The sequence below is a fragment of the Homo sapiens genome, chromosome 21 (assembly GCF_000001405.40).
Source record: "Homo sapiens chromosome 21, GRCh38.p14 Primary Assembly".
Taxonomy (NCBI): domain Eukaryota; kingdom Metazoa; phylum Chordata; class Mammalia; order Primates; family Hominidae; genus Homo; species Homo sapiens.
In genome coordinates, this window is record NC_000021.9 from 37120453 (window position 1) to 37142200 (window position 21748).

The 21748-nt window shown below is 37.1% G+C and overlaps 1 protein-coding gene across 10 annotated transcripts in view; it reads left to right on the plus strand.

The window, feature by feature from the left end:
* Positions 1 to 21748, plus strand: part of TTC3 (tetratricopeptide repeat domain 3) — a 129865-nt gene that overhangs the window by 47199 nt on the left and 60918 nt on the right. For all 10 annotated transcript variants that reach the window (NM_001320703.2, NM_001353936.2, NM_001320704.2 and 7 more), the window contains 9 exons: positions 1365 to 1527; positions 2531 to 2576; positions 4167 to 4290; positions 5628 to 5691; positions 8551 to 8611; positions 12230 to 12314; positions 14928 to 15062; positions 18182 to 18262; positions 20109 to 20221. In NM_001320703.2, coding sequence (NP_001307632.1) covers positions 1365 to 1527; positions 2531 to 2576; positions 4167 to 4290; positions 5628 to 5691; positions 8551 to 8611; positions 12230 to 12314; positions 14928 to 15062; positions 18182 to 18262; positions 20109 to 20221 — 872 coding nt within the window. The remainder of the gene's footprint in view (positions 1 to 1364; positions 1528 to 2530; positions 2577 to 4166; positions 4291 to 5627; positions 5692 to 8550; positions 8612 to 12229; positions 12315 to 14927; positions 15063 to 18181; positions 18263 to 20108; positions 20222 to 21748) is intronic.

A 21748-nucleotide genomic window follows, 5' to 3' on the forward strand; every position in this document is an offset into this window, starting at 1 on the left:
TATGATCTATCATTATTTCTTATGCTAGCTGTGGGTTTTTTAATGCAGTTATTTAAACTTTGAAGTCCGTAAATGCTTAGGGGATAGGATTTGACCTTGTAGCCTATCTGAGAGATGCCTTTGTCTTCTTATACTTTAGGTGTCAGGAAGCATGGCCTATACCCTTTCAGCAAAACAGAGTTTAATGAAATGCCATATGAATTGGAGTCTGAGCTAAGCCCAAATAGTCTGTCTAAAAAAACTCCAGAACCTTTAGAGCCACACGGTACCCCAGAGCAGGATTACTTATGGTAAACCTGCATAAACACGTACCCACGTAATTGTTTCTGGCTTCTTGTAGTGAAAAGCTGATCCTTCTTAAAAGCGTTGTTTGTTTTTTATAATTTCTCCTAGATTTTCACTGAATCACAGTGTTCTTTGTGAAATGTGTAGTGAAGAGGAAAGAGCTTTGGACCAGGTGTCATAAAAATCAGGGTTCTTTGGTTTGCCTCTTAAGTAAGTGTGATATTAGGCCAGTTTCTAGCCTCTAGCCTCTTTCACTAGTAAATCACCTTGCCAGTAGTACTGTGCCTAAAATGGGAATTTGGTTTGGGAGGAGCTAGAAGCAGGGTTGGTTCAGTTAGCTTCAGGTTTTGGTACTGTTAGCTTTGTAGATTAAAAAGTTTATACTTAATATAGAAGATTTCCAAAATATGTAAATGGACCAGCAAAGATTTTGGTTCTGTAGCAAAAAACCCTTATCATTGGAATTAAATGTAAATCCCTGGTTTTTGGTTTCTTAAAGCCAGGAGCTGCACTTAGAGATAACAATGAAAAGCTGAGTGAAGGGGAGACGGCTGGATGGAAGATCTAGCCTGAGCACATCCCCCATCTGTCTGCACTCTTCGGAGGTATCGGAAAACCATGGCACAGGCCCATGGTTCCATCCAGCTCTAAAAACTTCTCGATTTCCAGGTGTAGGAAAGGCGATGACTTAGAGATTGTTACTGCCTTCAAATATTTTTAAAACATAAAGTTATTTATAATGAATGACATTTTTTACTTTATCTGGCACAAAATTATTATATTCTCTGTTAGCAAAATATAACAAAAGTTGAACTCTGCTGGGGGTACAGAAATTTCTTAAGCAAAAATATTGATCCTTAGTTATTGTGATTATTTGTGTATTTATAACTTTTCACTTAGCTCATTAGGTAATGTTATTTCCTGAGGTATTAACATTTTACATTTATTTTTCATTGGTAGGGACCTAATCTAATATTTTAAGTAATGAATCAGTTTTCAAGCAAAACATTTTTCCTTACCTGTTTTCTTTAACTTAAGCATATTTTTGAGAAAAAATTAAATTTATCTTTTTGGAACAGGGTCATTATCGTTATTGTGATGCTCTTTCTATGCTGGGGGAATATGACTGGGCCCTGCAAGCAAACATAAAAGCTCAAAAACTCTGTAAAAATGACCCTGAGGGAATCAAGGATCTAATTCAGCAGCATGTAAAGTTACAAAAACAAATAGAAGACCTACAAGGTATTTCACCTAAGATTCTTTTGGTTACAGTCTTAATTCCCTTTCAAACTTTGGAGGGTGGGTTTCTTGGATTAACAGAGGACCACAAATCAATCCTCAGATGATTTATCCTTATTTTATCATGTTATCTTGGTCATGGCACTTGAGTTTTTCATTTCTATCTGTGTAGAGTTACATGTTATCCATTAAGTAATTATAAATGATTTGTACTTTTTATTTGAAACAGACAGCAACCAAATTGTTATTTATTCCTCTGTAGAAAAAAAAATCCCTTTCAGAAATTTTGAATAAAATAAAAGCTTTTTTGAAACAAAATTATTTAAAAATATTTCCTTCATTGCTAAAGTTATTTCCTAAAGAAAAGACCCTTCAGTAGAGCTGCTTGATGTTTCCGCACCATTTGTGCTAATTCTGCAGCGTGCTGAATATATATATATATAATATATATATATATATATTATATATATATATATAATGTTTTTTATATATATAGCAGAAATTGGCTGTGCAGGCTAGGAGTTGTAGATTTTCATTCTCTCCTTGTTTTCTCTCCTAAGTCTTTTTGCTTTCTCCAATGCCTGAAAGTCCCTTAGTCTACATTTTTAGTGTATGAGTCTTTCCTGCTTTTTCTTCTTCGGGTTGTACAAAGCTGAGCTGAACAGCTCTGTTTGACCGGCAGATGTTGTTATCCATCATAACATGATTATGTAATAAGATGGTGAGCTCCTTGAAGACAGGTGCCACCTTTGATTCAGATTTACATATTGCTGTCATCTTGTCAATGATCACATGTGATGGAATGTCAGACAAAGTTTGTGTAACATTTTGTTGACACCATCCTAAAACTAAAGACATCTAGAAATGTAAAATTGCTTAGATTTACTTTTCAGTTTTCTAAATTTGAGGTCCTTACTATCAGCTTAAAGTAAATTTGAAATCTTTTAAAGTCTGTGTTGCCAATCCATTGATTACTATGTGTGTGTGTGTGTGATGACTTTTATAGGTCGAACAGCAAATAAGGATCCAATTAAAGCCTTTTATGAAAACAGGTAAGTTAATAGCAGGTCAGTAGCTGCTACTACTAGGAATGGCTTTGCTGCATGAATTTAAGAATCACTTATGTTTGACGCTTTAGGAGCTAATAGCAACCACAGTAAAGTTGGAGATGGAAGGAAGAGAGGTAGTTTTTTAAGTGTCCGTGTTATCAGGTGACCTGTAAGTTGTCAGATTTATTTCGCTGTTTTAGTGAACCATATAGATATAAGCTCAGTAGCCTAATCCTGTGGGAAAAGAGGGGTGAAATGTTAATTGGACATTACTATGCTTGGATGGGACCAGTTTGGCCATGAAACTCCTGGCAGCACAGAGCTAGGACATAGCCTGTGCCCTGTGCCCTTCACCTCTGTCTTGGAAGTATCTATGGCAAAAACCACAATTACTTTTGCACCAACCTAATATTTCCAGCTTCCTGATGTCTTTCAAAGGCTAAGATACTTCCTATTAGAAATAGGCAACAGATAGACTTGAGTATGCTCACAAGAAAGCAATAGCAGCCAGGGTTCTACCTTTACTTATTTGGCAATTAAAACAGATTAAATGTTTTTCTGCATTCTTGTTCAGATGTCTGGGATACCGAAGCTGCTAATTCTGTAGCATGCTGAACATGTAGACATAAAGAAATTGGCTGTGGAGGCTTTAAATTTAATTTTAGTATCCTAATTTAACTTAACTTAGGATATTTAAATTTAGCACAAGGTCATAGGTATTTTTTTTTTTTTAATTTTTTTGAGACGGAGTCTCACTCTGTCACCCAGGCTGGAGTGCGGTGTTATGATGTCGGCTCACTGCAACCTCTGCCTCCCGGGTTCAAGCGATTCTCCTGCCTCAGCCTCTTGAGTAGCTGGGGCCACAGGCGGCTGCCACCACGCCCTGCTAATTTTTGAATTTTTGGTAGAGATGAGGTTTCAACATTTTGGCCAGACTGGTCTCAAACTCCTGACCTCAAGTGATCCGCTCGCCTTGGCCTCCCAAAGTGCTGAGATTACAGGAGTGAGCCACTGTGCCCAGCCTGAGCCACTGTGCCCAGCTGATATTTAAATGTTAGAACGCAGAATACTTCTTTTTGAACTGTTCTTTTTTTTTTTTTTTTTTTTTTTGAGACAGTCTCCCTCTGTCACCTAGGCTGGAGTGCAGTGGCACGATCTTGGGTCACTGAAACCTCCGCCTACTGGGTTCAAGCAGGTCTCCTGCCTCAGCCTCCCCAGTCGCTGGGATTACAGGCACATGCCACCACACCTGGCTAATTTTTGTATTTTTAGTAGAGACGGGGGTCTCACCATGTTGGCCAGGCTGGTCTTGAACTCCTGACCTTAGCTGATCCACCTGCCCTGGGCTCCCAAAGTGCTGGAATTACAGGCGTGAACCACTGCACCCAGCCCTTGACCTGTTCTTTATTATTTTGAGTTTAATGCCAAATATAAAATAATGTTTATGTATAAAGCCCCATCTCACAGGTAGGAAATCTTTTTAAAACAATAATACCTTGCTTTCAAGGAAAAAAGGCTGTGATTGCTGCAACCTGTTCATTCAAAGGATAACTTTCAAAAAATGTATAATAATTCCTTTTTTCCCCCACTTAGGGCCTACACACCTAGGAGTTTATCAGCACCTATATTTACTACTTCACTTAACTTTGTGGAGAAGGAAAGAGATTTCAGAAAAATTAATCACGAAATGGCCAACGGTGGTAATCAGAATCTAAAGGTAAGCTCCATTGAAAACTACAGTTTTTTTCAAGGATAGATAGTCTCATATTTTTACAGTAATATTTTGGTGGTAATAGAAACCAAATTTTTGGCGATTTGAACCCTTTTTGCCTATTGTTACTGAAATAATGATTCTCTTTTAAATAAATAATCTGAGTATCTCATATAACTACGTAAATAATATTTGAAAGTCACAGAATTTCTTTTGAAATCACATTTATGTGTTTCCAACATATTTTTAAAAATAACCATTTTGCCGCTTCTCTTTGTATCTTTTCCCTTCGGTTGTTGGAAAAGTCCTCTTGTTGATAATATTGAAAATTTCTAAGAGACTGTGTTCAGTTAGGGAGAGGAGTTTATACCGAGCATCTCCAGCTGGATCTGGAATTGTATTGAGCATTTCCAGCTGGATCTGAAGCTAAGGGTCTGTAAACACTCACCTCAGCCTGCCTTAGCAGCCCTTTTCCAGCCTTCCACCCTTTTTGAGGTCTTGAAATCACACAGGTTTACTTAGTGCTTCCGAAATGAACTCTACTCTTGGGTTCAGGCCATTCTGTCCAAATCGTACTTCTTTCTCAAAACCAAACACAAATGCTGTATCCTCACTAACATTTTTCTTAACCACTCCAGCTTAAGTGATTTTTCCCTTTTGTGAGTTGTGAGAGATATTACTGACTATGCAATTTATATGTCAATAACAACACAGTATTTTCTTTTCTTCATAAGGATGGTTGTTGTTTAACTACTGAAGTGATGTGTCTTTTCACCCCATCTGATTGTAAACTGAGAACGGGAGTTATCTCCTGTATCTCTCTGTATCTATGGTAGACCTAAATCATAATAATGATCGCTATTATAATTGATCTTTAATAATTGATTATATTTAATAATTTATTATATATAGAAAAATATCATCAGTAGCTTCTTTTTTGGCTTACCCTTTTGTAGTTACACTCACATACCACATTGCTGCTTCTGTTTCTTACTCCAATTTATATTTTAAAAATAGTTTTACTCTCAGGCTTGTAGATTTTTATGTACAGATGTGATAGTGTTAATTCAAACATTATTGAACAATTGTCATGTCAGACATCGTGCTAGGCAATAGAAATAGAATTGTCATTCAAGAATTTGTTCGTTGCCATATCATGATCCTTATCATTAGTTATCATTTTGTTTGCTTGTTTATACATTTAGGCTTAATAACCAGCTGCATATTTTAGCTGCTAGGGTGAATTCTATCCTATTCTATTCTAAATTCTTTTATATAGCTATTGAATTCTTCATGGCTGGGTTGTTTTTTTTTTTTTTAAGTCTCACTAATTTCATTGGCAGGTGGCGGATGAGGCGTTGAAGGTAGATGATTGTGACTGTCATCCTGAATTTTCACCACCATCAAGTGAGTATTGTTTTTATATCAATTGTTGCCAAGTTAATATAATGTCTCCTAAATTTGGATGCCCTACAATGTGCACAAGCCTTGCTTATATCCACTCTTGTTCTCCTTTACTTTATAATGCTTCTATGTTAAGAAAATATTGAATATTTATTTGAAATCAATGCTCAGTCTTTTTGTATTATTTAGTGAATGTAATTTTGGAAATTCAAATAAAAGGAAAGGAAAAGATGAAGTACATAGCTCTTTTTGGTCTGCTTCTTAATTTTTTTTAGGCTGTTGTTTCTCATTATTGAAAGTTTATTATTGCCTCCCTTCCTCCCACCTGCTAGGAGCCTGTTTAGACCTTTTTAAATCTAATTGTTCTCCCTCATAAAATTTTAATAGCTGTTTATGTACCATATGTGCATCTGCGCTTTATGTATAAAAGGAATTGATTTTGTCTCCCAATAACTAATTTTCACCCTATTGGGGGTGATATCACCCATATTGAGAACAGATGCTGCTGTAACAAAAATACCATAAACTAGATAGCTTATAAGCAACAAACATTTATTTCTCACATTTCTAGAAGCTGAGAAATTCATCATCATGATGTCAACAGATTCGATGTCTGCTGAGGGTCTTCTTCCCGGTTCATAGATGGCCATCTTTTTGCCGTGTTCTCATGTAGTAGAAGGAGCAAGACAGCCCTCTGGGGTCTCTTTTCTTTTTCTTTCTTTTTTTTTTTTTGAGACAGATTCTTGCTCTGTTGCCCAGGCTGGAGTGCAGTGGCATGATCTGGGCTCTCTGCAGCCTCTGCCTCCTGGGTTCAAGCAATTCTCCTGCCTCAGCCTCCCGAGTAGCTGGGATTACAGGCATGCACTACCACACCAGGCTAATTTTTGTATTTTTAGCAGAGACAAGGTTTTGCCATGCTGGCCAGGCTGGTCTCGAAATCTTGGCTTCAAGCAATCCTCTCGCCTTGGCCTCCCAAAGTGCTGGGATTGCAGGTGTGTGCCACCACGCCCAGCCTGGGGTCTCTTCTTATAAGGGCACTAATCCCATTCATGAGGGGACAGCCTCATGACCTAATTCCTCCCAAAGGTTCCACTTCCTATTACCATCGCCTTGAGGATTTGGTTTTCAACATGTGAATCTTGTCGGGGACACAGATATCCAGACCATAACAGTGCTGTAGGCTAAGTCTCATTTGTTTTAAGTTGTGTGTGCTCAGTGCATGTATTTATTTACATATCTAGTAAACACAGACACCGCAGAACCTCATTACTTGGCATCATTTGGAGATGAAGGTTCTGGAGAAGTGAATATTTTTGTGCTTCATTTATTTCTGAATCTTAATACCACCAGAGTTTGATGAAAATCCTCTAAAGTATATTACATGCTTCCCTGCCTTTTAACACGGAATTTAGGAAAATACAGGTTTTCTTGATGGCTTAAGGTTGTGGTCACACATAACAGTGACTGACCTCAAGCCTGGTGGTGTTCCTCCCAGGATTCTTCAGGTGAGATTGTTGATTTTTTAGTTAGTGATCCTCTCTTTTCCCTTGTCTTGTTTGTTGGGTGGTTGGTTTTTCTTTCCATAGTTTTGCTTCTAGCAGCCATTTCTATTTTTTGTGACCTGCAGCTCCATGTTCGCTCAGGCTCAGTTAGTTCCATAGATACAGCTACTTAGTATTGAGCATTTCCATTTGGTTAGCACATTAGCGTAATGATAGGGAGGGGAAACTCAGGCAGTTGTCCTACCTGATGCAGTTCCAACAGCATATAAAACATCTTTGAGGATAAAACTTTTTTTTGGAAGATAGCTTTTAATTTCTTCATATTTCTCAGGCCATTACTATCATTTAATTAAATAAATTCTGTCCACCCTTCAGCATTTACATACAGGGGAAGAAATTGAGGTTCCAGGATTAAGGTTAAGTAGTTTTGTCCAAGGTCACAGAATGGAAATCAAACTAGAATTCTTCTACCTTTCCAAAAGCTGCTTTTGTTTTCTGAGGCCACCAAAGCCCAGGCTCTCATTCCCTCCTTATTACATTGGCTCTGACTTGTGTCTGTGCCCTCCCCTTAAACCTTCATCAGATGCACCCTGCTCCTCCTGCCATACCAGTTCTTCTACACAGCTCTGAGCATGGCTCTCCCTGCCCAAAAATATGCAGTGGTTTCCTACTCCTGCCAGCAGAATAAATCTGGGCTCACAGAGCTGGATCTGAAGCTAAGGGTCTGTAAACACTCACCTCAGCCTGCCTTAGCAGCCCTTTTCCAGCCTTCCACCCTTTTTGAGGTCTTGAAATCACACAGGTTTACTTAGTGCTTCTGAAATGAACTCTCTACTCTTGAGTTCAGGCCATTCTATCCAAATCGTACTTCTTCCTCAAAACCGAACACAAATGCCATATCCTCACTAACATTTTTCTCAGCCACTCCAGCTTAGGTGATTTTTCCCTTTTGTGAGTTGTGAGAGATATTACTGACTATGCAATTTATATGTCAATAACAACACAGTATTTTCTTTTCTTCATAAGGATGATTGTTGTTTAACTACTGAAGTGATGTGTCTTTTCACCCCATCTGATTATAAACTGAGAACAGGAGTTATCTCCTGTATCTCTCTGTATCTATGGTAGACCTAAATCATAATGATCACTATTATAATTGATCTTTAATAATTTAATTTATTATATATAGAAAAATATCATCAGTAGCTTCTTTTTTGGCTTACCCTTTTGTAGTTACACCCACGTACCACATTTCTGCTTCTGTTTTCTTACTCCAATTTATATTTTAAAAATAGTTTTACTCTCAGGCTTGTAGATTTTTATGTACAGATTTTAGGAACAAATACTTTTGTGTTCACAGGTCAGCCTCCAAAACATAAAGGAAAACAAAAATCTCGAAACAATGAATCAGAAAAGTTCAGGTATGTTTTTTCTCTAAGGTATGTTTTTTTCCCCTTAATATACTCTTCCCAAGAAAAAGGAAAAAAAATTGTTTTTCGAGTATTAGCTACTTTAATGTATGTATTATGATGACTACCAAAATCCCTTTCAAATATCAAAAGCATATCTTTAGGAAAGGATAATTTTTGGCTAAAGGATTATTAATCCTGGATATTAATATATTGACTTCTGAAAGTCACATAATATGAAATATTTCCATATTAATTTCTTAAATCCCAGAATATGTACTCTAAAAGGAAAAAGCATTAAGAGAGATATAAGGTGCACATGAAGCCTCCTTCCCTGCTCACCTCATTTGACCCTCCTGCAGTCCCTTCTCTAAGGCCTCCTCCAGGAATACACTGTTAACAGTTTCATGACTATTGGGAAACTTACTCTGCATACGCAGACATGGGTATGCATATTTCAGATGCCCTTTTGAGTAATTATTGTTAGAGGAAAATCTTTCCTAATGAATTCTGACTACTTCTAAAATGAATTCTATCAAACATCCCCATGAAAATTAACAGTAATTAATTGCCTCCTATCTTTTTTTTTGTTTTTTTGAGATAGGGTCTTGCTCTATCACTTAGGCTGCGGTGCAGTGGTGTAACCCTAGCTCACTGCAGGCTTGAACTCCTAGACTCTAGTGATTCTTTTTGCCTCAGCTCCCAAGTAGCCAGGACTACTACTGCTACTATGGTGCACGTCACCATGACTGGATAACTAAAACTAAATGTTTTTTAGAGACAGGGTCTTGCTCTGTTGCCCAGGCTGGTCTTGAACTCCTGGCCTCAAGTGATCCTTCTGCCTTGGCCTCCCAGAGTGCTGGGATTGCAGGCGTGTGCCTGGCCTTGCCTCCTGTCTTTATTGTTAACACCCCATTGACAACAAGATATAAATTGATTACAATGTGAAATTGTAAATCTTTTAATACAGAAGTTTATGAAGTGAATTAAAGTGATGTTGGAGAAACAGCAAAGCCATGTCTGCCACAATACACTGGTTTTCAATTTCTTCTCCATTTCTTAATCTGAATCCATGATAGATGCTTCAGGGGGAATGATTTGAATATCAAAACACTAAAAAAAAATCAGTGAAGTCTCATTTCTTTTCAAAAATGACCATTTTTGGATGCTGCTACAAAAATTAAATACAAAGCAAGGATATAGCATATTATTATGTTTTTCTATTATTTGATAGAAAAATCATGAGTCTTCTTCCCTGCCCTCCCCTGTACCCCTAAAGAAACCAGATATTAATATATGATAATTTTTTAAATGCAGAGTTGTAATTTTAACCTGTTTTATTTAAAAAAAATTTATTTTTCTGATATTTTGTTTCACTTTTCCAACTGAACACTCCTTTATTAGGTAATATCTACCATATGGGACTATTTCTTCATTAAATGGGATAACCACGTAAAACACTTAGAGCCCTGGAACATAGTAAATCTTCAGTGTACTTTAGTCGTCATTACTGTTACCACCATCATTTTCATTATTATTAGAATGACTCTGGCCTACAGCTTGCTTTTTGTCTTTTACAAAATATCTTGTGTTTCTTCCCATGTTCAGAACACAGAGCTCTTCCATTCTTCATTTGCTGTACAGTATTTTGTAATATGGCTGTATCCCCCATTTTTGTGCATTTAGGCTCTTCATTCCTCTTTTCCTCCCTCACTTTCTATCCCTCTATCCATCTCTCTCTTTTTCTTCTTCCTTTGAGAGGGATAGATCAGACAGTACTTCAAACATCCTTGCACATACACCTTTGTGCACCTGTTCATGTATATTTACAATAAATACTTTGTAAATAATGTATAGAAGTTGTTTCTGTAGTGGGATTGCTGTATCAAAGGGGATATGTAATTTTATCTTTGACAGATATTGTGAAATGGTTCTCTTAGAAAATAGGCACTGTTCACACTCCGACTAATCTACAGGAGGGTGTGGTATAATAAAAATATATATATATTTGGTATTTGTCCCAGTTCCTGGTACAGAGCTCCCAAAACCCATGGCATTTCCTGAATGATAGGAGTGTATTTTGTTACTCATCATGAGCCCCTTTCCATGTACTTGAGTTTATGCTAATGAGGTGACTCAAGGTAGTGCCTCAGATAGTTCAGGAGGAGGTCTCGTCACTGGAAAGACCAAACACCTGATTAGAGGGTTAAGACTTTCAGCCTCATACCTGACCTCCAAGGAGAGGAGGGGGGCTGGAAATTGAGGTTAGGCACCAATGGCCAGTGGTTGATTTAATTGTACCTACATACCTACATAATGAAACCTTAGTAAAGTCCTTAAAAGAGGGCATGGGGAGCTTCTGGGCTGACGAACACATTGATGTGCTGAGAAAGTGGCATGCCCAAGGGGATCATGAAGCTCCTCGCGCCCCCCAACCTTCCTATGCATCTCTTCCTCTTGGCTGTTTTTGAGTTGTATCCTTTATAATAAATTGGTAATAGTAAGCACTTCCTTGAGTTCCATTGTTTTTCTAGTGAGCCTGAAGAGGGACTCATGGGAACCCTCTTGTAGTCAGCAGGGCAGGAGTGTGGGTGACCTGTGCACCCCACTTGCAGCTGAAGTGAGGGCAGTCTGGTGGGACTGATTCTTTACCCTGTGAGGTCTGCGCTAACTCTGGGAGTTAGTATCAGAACTGAATTGCATTATTGCACACTCATTTTGTGTTGGACAGTTGAATTGATACGGAAAAATGACAATATTTGGTATTGGAGAAAATCTACACATTGGATGTCAGAAGTACTTTCAGAAAACTCCACATCGAGTGCCTCAGATTTTCTTACTCTCACCAACTTAGGGAGTCAGACTTTCTGAAATGCTTGTATCTTATTATTAGATTTTCCCATCACATTGAACATCTTTGCACTGTTTATTGGGCACATTTATTGTTTTAGGCCCATGTTGTTACTAGTGACTACAGATCAAGGCAAATACCCCTTAATTTTTCTCTTTTTTCAAAAGCTGTTTTTCCATATCATCTTTATAATCAATTCATCTGGTTTCCCTCCACCTCTGATTTTATAGGAATGTTTATTGAGATTGCATTGGATTTAGAGATTTCTAATAGAAATATTGCCAAAATGCCAATTCCCCCCAAAGAATGGCCAACTTGTATGGCTCACCATTTACTCACTATTTTACATGGCCTTCAGTAAATATATTTTTTTCTTCTATCTGTCACATTGGAGGGATGAGAGCGAACTAATATTCAGATTCTATTTTTTTTCTTTTTTTTTTTTTTAGATGGAGTCTTGCTCTGTCGCCCAGGCTGGAGTGCAGTGGTAAGATCTCGGTCCTGGGCTCAAGCAATTCTCCTGCCTCAGCCTCCCAGGTAGCTGGGATTACAGGCATGCACCACCACGCCAGGATAATTTTTGTATTTTTAGTAGAGACAGAGTTTCACCATGTTGGTCAGGCTGGTCTCGAACACCTAACCTCAGGTGATCCACCCACCTCGGCCTCCCAAAGTGCTGGGATTACAGGTATGAGCCACTGTGCCTGGCCCTATTTTTTCTTTATATGAGTAGAACTTTTATTTTAAAATGATTTTTAAAAATGCTTTTTTTCTTTTAGTTCTAGTTCACCATTGACTTTACCAGCAGATTTGAAGAACATCTTGGAGAAACAGTTTTCTAAATCTTCCAGAGCTGCACACCAGGTAATGGAGAAGCTTTTCCAATGGAAAAAGCAAAACTCTTTGAACAAAACATTGTTCACATGAATAAGGTTCTAATCATGTACATCTCTAAGTTTTTTTTATATAATTATTGTATTATATTGTAGTTTTGTAGAGATGGGGTCTCACTGTGTTGTCCAGGTTGGTTTCAAACTCCTGGCCTCAAGCAATCCTCTTAAAGTGTTGGGATTACAGGTGTGAGCTATTGCACTCAGCTATTATAGACATATCATTTAATATATATGACTGCTAAGAATCCAATCTATCACTAATTTAAATATTAACTTGATAATTACGTTAGCTAGAGGTTTAACTAATGATTAGCACTGTGGAATTATTTGCTTCTCAAAGAGTTAACAGTAGTATTAACTTTAAATATTTTTAAAAGATTTAAACACAGTTTCATTATACTTATTCTAAAATCATTAGAGGGCAAACTTTTATTCTTTAAATGATTTAACTTAATCAGATAATGTTGTATATAAAATTCTTTTTACGTTACTTCATGATGGAAAATATACATTAACATGGAATAGAATACTCATTTCAAAACATGTGGATCTTTTTTTAGGTATACATAACAGATATTTTACAAAGAACTAAAATAGATTCCTAATCATTTGCTTAAAAACATTTTTGAGAATTTCTTAAAGTTGGAGATTTTAAATTATATCTTTTTACATTGATTTTTACTGACTCTAAACACCATGAAATACTTAAATAGATGACAGCCTGTGAAGATGAAAAGACTATTTAAATAAATATGATCGCTGTTTTTGAGCCTCTGTTTGTTCATTCAACACAGTTTGATTGAGGCTCTCTCCATATGCTGGGGAGTGAGAGAGATTGGGTGCACAGTGATATGATTTCGGCCTGCTCTGCTGGAGCTTTCAGGACAGATCATTTATGTCGTATTGAGGGAAGTGACTTCCAATGAAAGCATGAGGCTGTATGGATCTGATTTCTAGACTGATAAAGAAAGCTGGGCATGGTGGCACGTGTCTGTAGTCCCAGCTCCTCAGGAGGCTGAGGTGAGAGGATTAACCACTGCACTCCAGCCTGGGCAACATAGGAAGGCCCTGTCTTATTTATTTATTATTTTCTTTTGTTTTCTTTTTTAAGCCTCTCACTAGTTTGGGAGCCCTGTCTCTTTTAAAGAAGAAAGAAAAAGAATGAGAACAAGATTAAAATTGAATGAGTTTATGCAAGGCTAATAACTAGTATTTGTAGGGCTAGTATATCATCATTTATAACTTCAAGTTCATATCTTAAAACAAGTATGGCTGTCATCGAGCTTTTAAGTTTTTCTGAAAGCTGCTCTTTTCTATGCATATTCTGGGGAGCGTTCTGCCAAACTTTGATTCATTGGTTCAAAAGCCAGCAGAGGCCGGGTGCAGGGTCTCACACCTGTAATCCCAGCATTTTGGGAGGCCGAGGCAGGCGGATCACAAGGTCAAGAGATTGAAACCATCCTGGCCATCATGGCGAAACCCCATCTCTACTAAAAATACAAAAAATTAGCTGGGTGTGGTGGCGTGCACCTGTAGTCCTAGCTACCCAGGAGGCTGAAGCAGGAGAATCGCTTGAACCCCGAGGTGGAGGTTGCAGTGAGCCGAGATCTGCCACTGCACTCCAGCCTGGACGACAGAGCAAGACTCCATCTCAAAAAAAAAAAGCCAGCAGAAGGCTTTTGTTAATGGGTAACCAAACTGCTTTTTCCTCTGTGATTTGTGCAGTGGGGCCTCCTTTTGGATCTTCATTGTTAGGAATGGTGAGGAATACAACATACATATTTGCATTTGCGGCCCCTTTGAATGGCGCACACGTGTATAGCAAGGAGTGAGGAGATTTTAGGCTTAATGTCTAGCCTTGCCTCTCCAATCTTTGTGGAACTTTGGTGACTTACAGCTATTCCCATGTCACTAAAATATGAATTCAAATTATAATGCGTATTCAAATTACAAAGTTTTTCTCACTTTAAGGGCACATGATAGCAATTTTGTTTTTATTTTTTATTCCTTATGTTATTCCTTTTGCATTTAACCTATTGTTATCTCTCCCAGTAATTTTATCTACTTATATTCAAATATATGTTAGGCAGGAGTACAGTTAACAATTACAGTATTTATTTCTTGCTTAGAATTAAGGTTTGTTTCAGAGCAGGATGGCAGTTGTTAAAATCTGGTAGTGATCAGAATATTGATTGTATGTTCTTAAGTGTCTAATTGTTCTACTCCCAAACAACTTACTTATTTAAATGATGGCTGTTGTTTTTCATATATATTGTTAAAACTTAAAAATACTGTCTGTTTAGTCTGGAGAGCAAGTGAGGCTTAGTACCATGTAGTGTAAAATGAGCCACCTTTGTCACAGGCAACAGAAGAGGTGTTGCAATTAGGATGGTAAAGCAGTACCTTTTCATTTTCACTTTAAAAGTGTGGTGCTGAGAAAGGAATATGATGAATAAGGGTAGTTTGGGTATTGATGTAAACATTTTATCATTAGTTATAAAATATTACTATGAACTTGGCATCTTAGGTTTTAAATTAAAAATGTGTAGATTCAGGTTACTGAAATAGAATTTCTTTTTTCCAGGATTTTGCTAATATAATGAAAATGCTGAGAAGCTTAATTCAAGATGGCTATATGGCCTTATTGGAGCAGCGTTGCCGCAGCGCTGCACAGGCCTTTACAGAGTTGCTGAACGGTTTAGATCCTCAAAAAATAAAGGTAAATTTGCCATATCATAACTTGTTTATCAATGCTAATGCACCTCAGATGAATGCAGAAGAGAACCAAGGGCTTAACTCATTGTAGTAATGTACCTAAGACCTTGCTGAGATTGGCTGAATCTACTTCAGGTTATGGGAAGCAGGTACTGCTCCAATTCAGACTTCATGAGTATGTTCAGTATGTGATCCATGTTTATATTCTCTCCTTGACTATAGTTTAGGGTCATTAGAACTGGCTTTTTCTCTGAATCAAGGTTTTCAACTATCTTTAGTCACACCTTTTCACCCAGGAAGAAAGTACAGGCACACCTCGTTTCATTATGCTTTGCTTTATTGTACTTTGCAGACAATGCATTTGTTACAAATTGAAGATTTGTGGCAACCCTGTGTCAAGCAAGTCTGTTTTCTGAAAGCATGTGCTCACCTCATGTCTCTGTGTCACATTTTGGTAATTCTCACAATATGTCAAACTTTTTCATTATCATTATCACTGTATCTGTGATCAGTGATCTTTGATGTTACTATTGTAATTATTTTGGGGCACTACAATCTGTGCCTATGTAAGAAAGGGAACTTAATAAATTGTGTGTGTGTGTTCTGAGTGCTCTGCCAACCAGCTGTTATCTCCACCCCCTTCCTTAAGTCTCCCTGTTCCCTGAGACACGATATTGAAATTAGGCCAATTAATGACCCTACAATGGCCTCTAAGTATTCAAGTGAAAGGAAGAGTTGCACGTCTCTCACTTTAAATAAAAAACTAGAATGATTAAGCTTCGTGAGGAAGGTATGTTGAAAGCCAAGACAGGCAGAAAGCTAGTCCTCTTGTGCCAAATAGCCAAATTGTGAATGCAAAGAAACAGTTTTTGAAGGAAATTAAAAGTGCTACTTCAGTGAACACATGAATGACAAGAAAGTGAAACAACTTTCTTGCCGATGCAGAGAGTCTTAGTGGTCTGGGTAGAAGATCAAACCAGCCACAACATTCTCTTAAGCCAGAGCCTAATCCAGAGCAAGACTCTAACTCTTCTATTCTGTGAAGGCTGAGAGAGGTGAGGAAGCTGCAGAAGAATAGTTTGAAACTAGCAGAAGTTGGTTCATGAGATTTAAGGAAAGAAGCTATTTCCATAACATAAAAGTGCAAGGTGAAGCAGCAAGTGCTGATGGAGAAGCTGCAGTAAGTTATCGAGATCTAGTGAAGATCATTGATGAAGGTGGCTACGCTAAACAACAGATTGTCAATGGAGACTAAACAACCTTCTGTTGGAAGAAGATGCCATCTAGGACTTTCATAGCTAGAGAGAAGTCAGTGTCTGGTTTCAAAGCTTCAAAAAGGATGGGCTCATTACTCATTAGGGGCTGATGCAGCTGGTGACTTAAGTTGAAGCCAGTGCTCATTTATGTTCCAAAAATCCTCAGGCCCTTAAGAATTATGCTAATTCACTCTGCCTGGAGCCCTAGAAATGGAACAACAAAGCATGAATGGCAGCACATCTGTTTACAGCATGGTTTACTAAGTACTTTAAGCCCACTGTTGAGACCTACTGCTAGAATAAAAGATTCTTTGCAAAATACTATTGCTCATTGACAATGCACCTGATTGCCCAGGAGATGTGGTGTACATGTACAAGGAGATGAATGTTGTTTTCATGCCTGGTAACACAATATCCATTCTGTAGCCTATGGATCAAGGAGTCATTTTGACTTTCAAGTCTTATTATTTAAGAAACATATTTTATAAGGCTATAGCTGCCATAGTGATTCCTCTGTTGGATCTGGACAAAGTAAATTGAAAACCTTCTGGAAAGGATCACCACTCTAGATACCATAAAGAACATTCATGATGCATGTGAGAGATCAAAATATCAACATTTACAGGAGTTTGGAAGAAGTAAATTCCAGCCCTCATGGATGACTTTGAGGGGTTCAGGACATTAGTGGAGGAAGTCACTGCAGATGTGGTGGAACAAGCAAGAGAATTAGAAGTGGAGCCTGAAGATGTGACTGAATTGCTGCAACCTCAGGATAAAACTTGAAGGGATAAGGAGTTGCTTTTTATACATGAACAAAAAAAGTCATTTCTTGAAATGGAATCTACTCCTTGTGAAGATGCTGGAATATTGTTGAAATGAGAAACTTAGTTGATCAAGCAGTGGCAGGATTTGAGAGGATTCACTCCAATTTTGAAAGAAGTTCTAGTGTGGGTAAAATACTGTCAAACAGCATCACACATTACAGAGAAACCTTTTCTGAAAGTAAGAGTCAATCAGTATGACAGACTTCATTGTCTTATTTTAAGAAATTGCCACAGCACCTTAATTTTCAGGAACTACCACCCTGAACAGTTAGCAGTCATCAATATCAAGGCAAGACCATCCACCAACAAAAAGATTATGACTCACTAGAAATACCCAGTGTAGATGACGGTTGATGGGTGCAGCAAACCACTGTGGCACGTGTTATACCTGTGTAACAAACCTGCACGTTCTTCTGCACATGTATCCCAGAACTTAAAGTATAATTTTAAAAAAAGTTTAAAAAAAGATTATGACTCAGTAAACCCTCAGATGATCATTAGCATTTGTAGCAATAAAGTCTTAAATTAAGGTGTGTACATTGTTTAATGGACGTAATGCTACTACACACTTAATAAACTACAGTATCGCTAAAACATAACTTTAATATGCACTGGGAAACCCACAAGTTTGTGAGACTCACTTGATTGTGATATTTGCTTTATTGTGATGCTCCAGAGCCGAGCCCACAGTATCTCTGAGGTATGCCTATAATAGCTAAGTAAATGTCTTAATCTGTCACTAGTACTGCTTATATGCAAAATAATATGACTTTAATTATAAATTAATCTATTATGAATCATGCCTCAAGGAACTCTGAGACAGTGATTCTGTGTTTTAAATAGCAGGATAACTGCTTTATTGGAACAAAAATCTCTTTTCTAATTTGATTTGGCCAATCATATTGATTAGTGAGATTTTATGACAATCATTGATTCGTAAGATTGATTAGTGAGATTCTATTACACTTCTTTTTCTGTTGTGACTGGATGCAAATTGGGCAGAATTATATTCAGATTTTTAACTGAGGCATTTTTATTGACAGCAATTGAACCTGGCCATGATTAACTATGTTTTGGTCGTCTATGGACTTGCCATTTCTCTCCTTGGAATAGGACAGCCTGAGGTAAGATTTGTAACAGTGGTAATAAACAATTAAAATGATATTGACATATCTTATAAAAATTATTTTCTCATTTTTACCCATTTTCTTCTCTGTACCTTCTGATAATTTTGTCTGAAATATCTCAGTTTAATTTAGTTTGTGTTTTTAAAGAATATTTAGTTTCCTATTAGAAAAAGGCTTTGCCAGGCAATCAGTGGGAATCTACTTTTTATTTGTGTAAAAATTAGTATGTAATGTATCATGATTGATAGATTTCAGAAACATAATCTTGAGGGAAAGGCAAGTTGGAGGACATAAACATTGTGATCCCACTTATATACTTTTTGGAAAACATACATAACAGTACTATATACTGTTTATGAATTCTGTGCATCTTGTAAAAAAGTGAAAAAATATGGATTATGTTTATATAAAATTTAAGATAATGGCTGCCTTTAGTGATGGCCAGGAGGGAATGGACCTGGGGAGGTTTCGTGTTATGCTGTTTTCCTAGAAAAACAAAGGTAACAATGATAACGTTAGTATCTCTTATTTGTACGTAGAAAGTACTTGGATATTGTATTATTTCTAGATTGCAGGCTTCCTATAACTGCATGTAGTCAGTGTATAGACATGAGCTCCCAGGATTTCCATTAGTCATGCTCCTGCCTGGCTCTCCTGGAATGTTTACCTACCTATACTGTTTGGCATTATAACTTTGCTTTCTGAGGTTTTGAGTTTGCTATAAATGTTGAAATGCTCTAGAATTACCTCAAGTATAATATATAATTTGGTCTCTATTTTTCCCTGTCTAGATGAAGGTTTAACTCTAACTTGCCACCTAGTGAGGATCTAAGTAGTCTTTTACGTTCTGTTCTCTCCCAGAAGTTGACAGTGCCCAAGATTCATTTTCCTTGATCTCAGTGTCACAGATTAATAATGTCTCCCATGAATGCTCTCTAATTCTATTTTCCAAGAGACAGTTGGAGACAGAACTTCATGATTTTCATTTTATTCCTGACAGAATAATAATAAATACCATATTTTACCTTATTAGAATTGAAGAAATCATTTATTACATTTGTGATTTAATGTAAAATAGCGAGACTGATTTAGAAAAAAAAAATGTGTTATAGTAGAACTTACATGTTTAAAAGAATTTCATCAGAGGACAGCCCTTGCTTCAAACGTTTTTAGAATGCCTCCTTTGGAACTGGCCTCAAAGCTCCATTTTGTAGTGACATTTCTTTTTTTCACTCACAGTAGGGTTACCAGTATTTCTTAGAACTATGTATCTTTTGGATGTTTTCCAAAAACAAAATTCATTCAACTTAGTGGTTTTTCACTGTTGAGAATATTCAAAAAAGAATGTACTCTAAGCTATGTTAAGTGTTTACTAATGGGCTGTTTTTAAGACAGAGCTTTCATCCGTCTTGTGCCACAAAAGACTGTGACAACGTCATTGGAATGGCATTCCTTCCAAGGGATTAGCACTTAATAGGATCTATGTTATGGTGTGTTTACACCATAATTAGCCTTTTTTAAAAAACAAAAACAAAAACACGATTTGACTCTTTTTAGTATTAGCCAGCACACGCCAGGCCCTTAGTGCGTACTAGTAAATGCTTATAGGTTGATTGTCTGATGTGTTCAGCAGGATTGGTTTGGTTGTGTCTCTGACTATCCATATGATCAGAAATTTATATAATTCCTAAGAAAGTGAAACACAGAGGTATAATTTTGCCACAGGAATTTGGGGATATGCAGTTGTTATTTTAATATTATAAAAAAAATCAACCTTTAGATAAAATTTATTTCAGTATTTCTCTTTGTATGTAAGTGATCATTGTTTTCACTGCTATTCAAGGAATTATCTGAAGCCGAAAACCAGTTTAAGAGGATTATTGAACACTACCCCAGTGAGGGCCTTGATTGCTTGGCCTACTGTGGAATTGGAAAAGTATATTTGAAAAAAAACAGGTTAGTAGAAATGACACTACTTTAAGCTCTAGGCTGGTAACTCATTTAAAATCCAATGTGATAATGATCCATTTTCTAGAATTATTTTGATATCTCCTCTGTAGCACACTATCATAATTGTGATTTACTTTGAGGACCTGAAATTTCACTATCAGTATTAATTGTTAAAGCAAGGCCAGTCATTGCAGTTCTTGGTACTTCCTGATTTTAAATCTAATAAGTCAACAATATAGTAATTTGACATTAAAGATTTAATAGTCTAGTGTATAATCATCTATAGATAGTGAGTGAATTGATATAAACTAATGTTTTTAAAATCTGATTGTTTAATTTTTTTGATTTAATTATTTTTTAAAAATCTGTATGAAGATGGTTTTAAATAAGAGGTATATATGTGTTCAAAGACATCATGAGTGAGTTAGGAATATAAAAGTCTGTCCTCTGAACTCTATTGTAGTTGTAATCCTTACCTGCAGTTTAATATTGAAGCTGTTCTCTAAATGCCTCATGTCTCTTAGTCTTGTCTCCCCGAATGTCAGTATGTCCCTGAGGGGACAGGATTATGTCTTGAGCTTTAAAAAAAGAAAATCTGTTTCTGCCACTTGTACCCAATATAGAGGTAGGTATGTTAGATTATAAAGAAATAATTGTTGACTGATTGAATATTATTTATAATTTCTAACTGTCTTTAAATTTTCATGTAACTTGTTAGGGGAAATTTTATGAGATTTTGGGGAATCCCCCCCCCAGCCATCTTAGAATGTGCCTAGAACCTCCTTTATAGTTTTTTTTAAATTAAAGAAAGTTTTTTTTTGGCCAGGCACAGTGGCGCACACCTGGAATCCCAGCACTTTGGGAGGCCAGTGGGTGAATCACTTGAGGTCAGGAGTTTGAGACCAGCCTGACCAATATGTTGAAACCCTGTCTGTACTAAAAATACAAAAATTAGCTGGGTGTGGTGGTGCGTGCCTGTAGTTCCAGCTACTCAGGAGGCTGAGGCAGAAAGAATCACTTGAACCCAGGAGGCGGAGGTTGCAGTGAGCTGAGATTGCACCACTGTACTCCAGCCTGGGCGACAGAGTGAGACTCCATCTCAAAAACAGCAATAACACAGAGACACAACAAAAAAAGAGAATTTTAGACAATATCCCTGATGAACATCCATGCAAAAATCCTTAATAAAATACTGGCAAACCGAATCCAGCAGCACATCAAAAAGCTTATCCACCATGATCAAGTGGGCTTCATCCCTGGGATGCAAGGCTGGTTCAACATACACAAATCAATAAATGTAATCCAGCATATAAACAGAACCAAAGACAAAAACCGCATGATTATCTCAATAGATGCAGAGAAGGCCTTTGACAAAATTCAACAGCCCTTCATGCTAAAACTCTCAATAAATTAGGTATTGATGGGACGTATCTCAAAATAATAAAAGCTATTTATGACAAACCCACAGCCAGTATCATACTGAATGGACGAAAACTGGAAGCATTTCCTTTGAAAACTGGCACAAGATAGGGA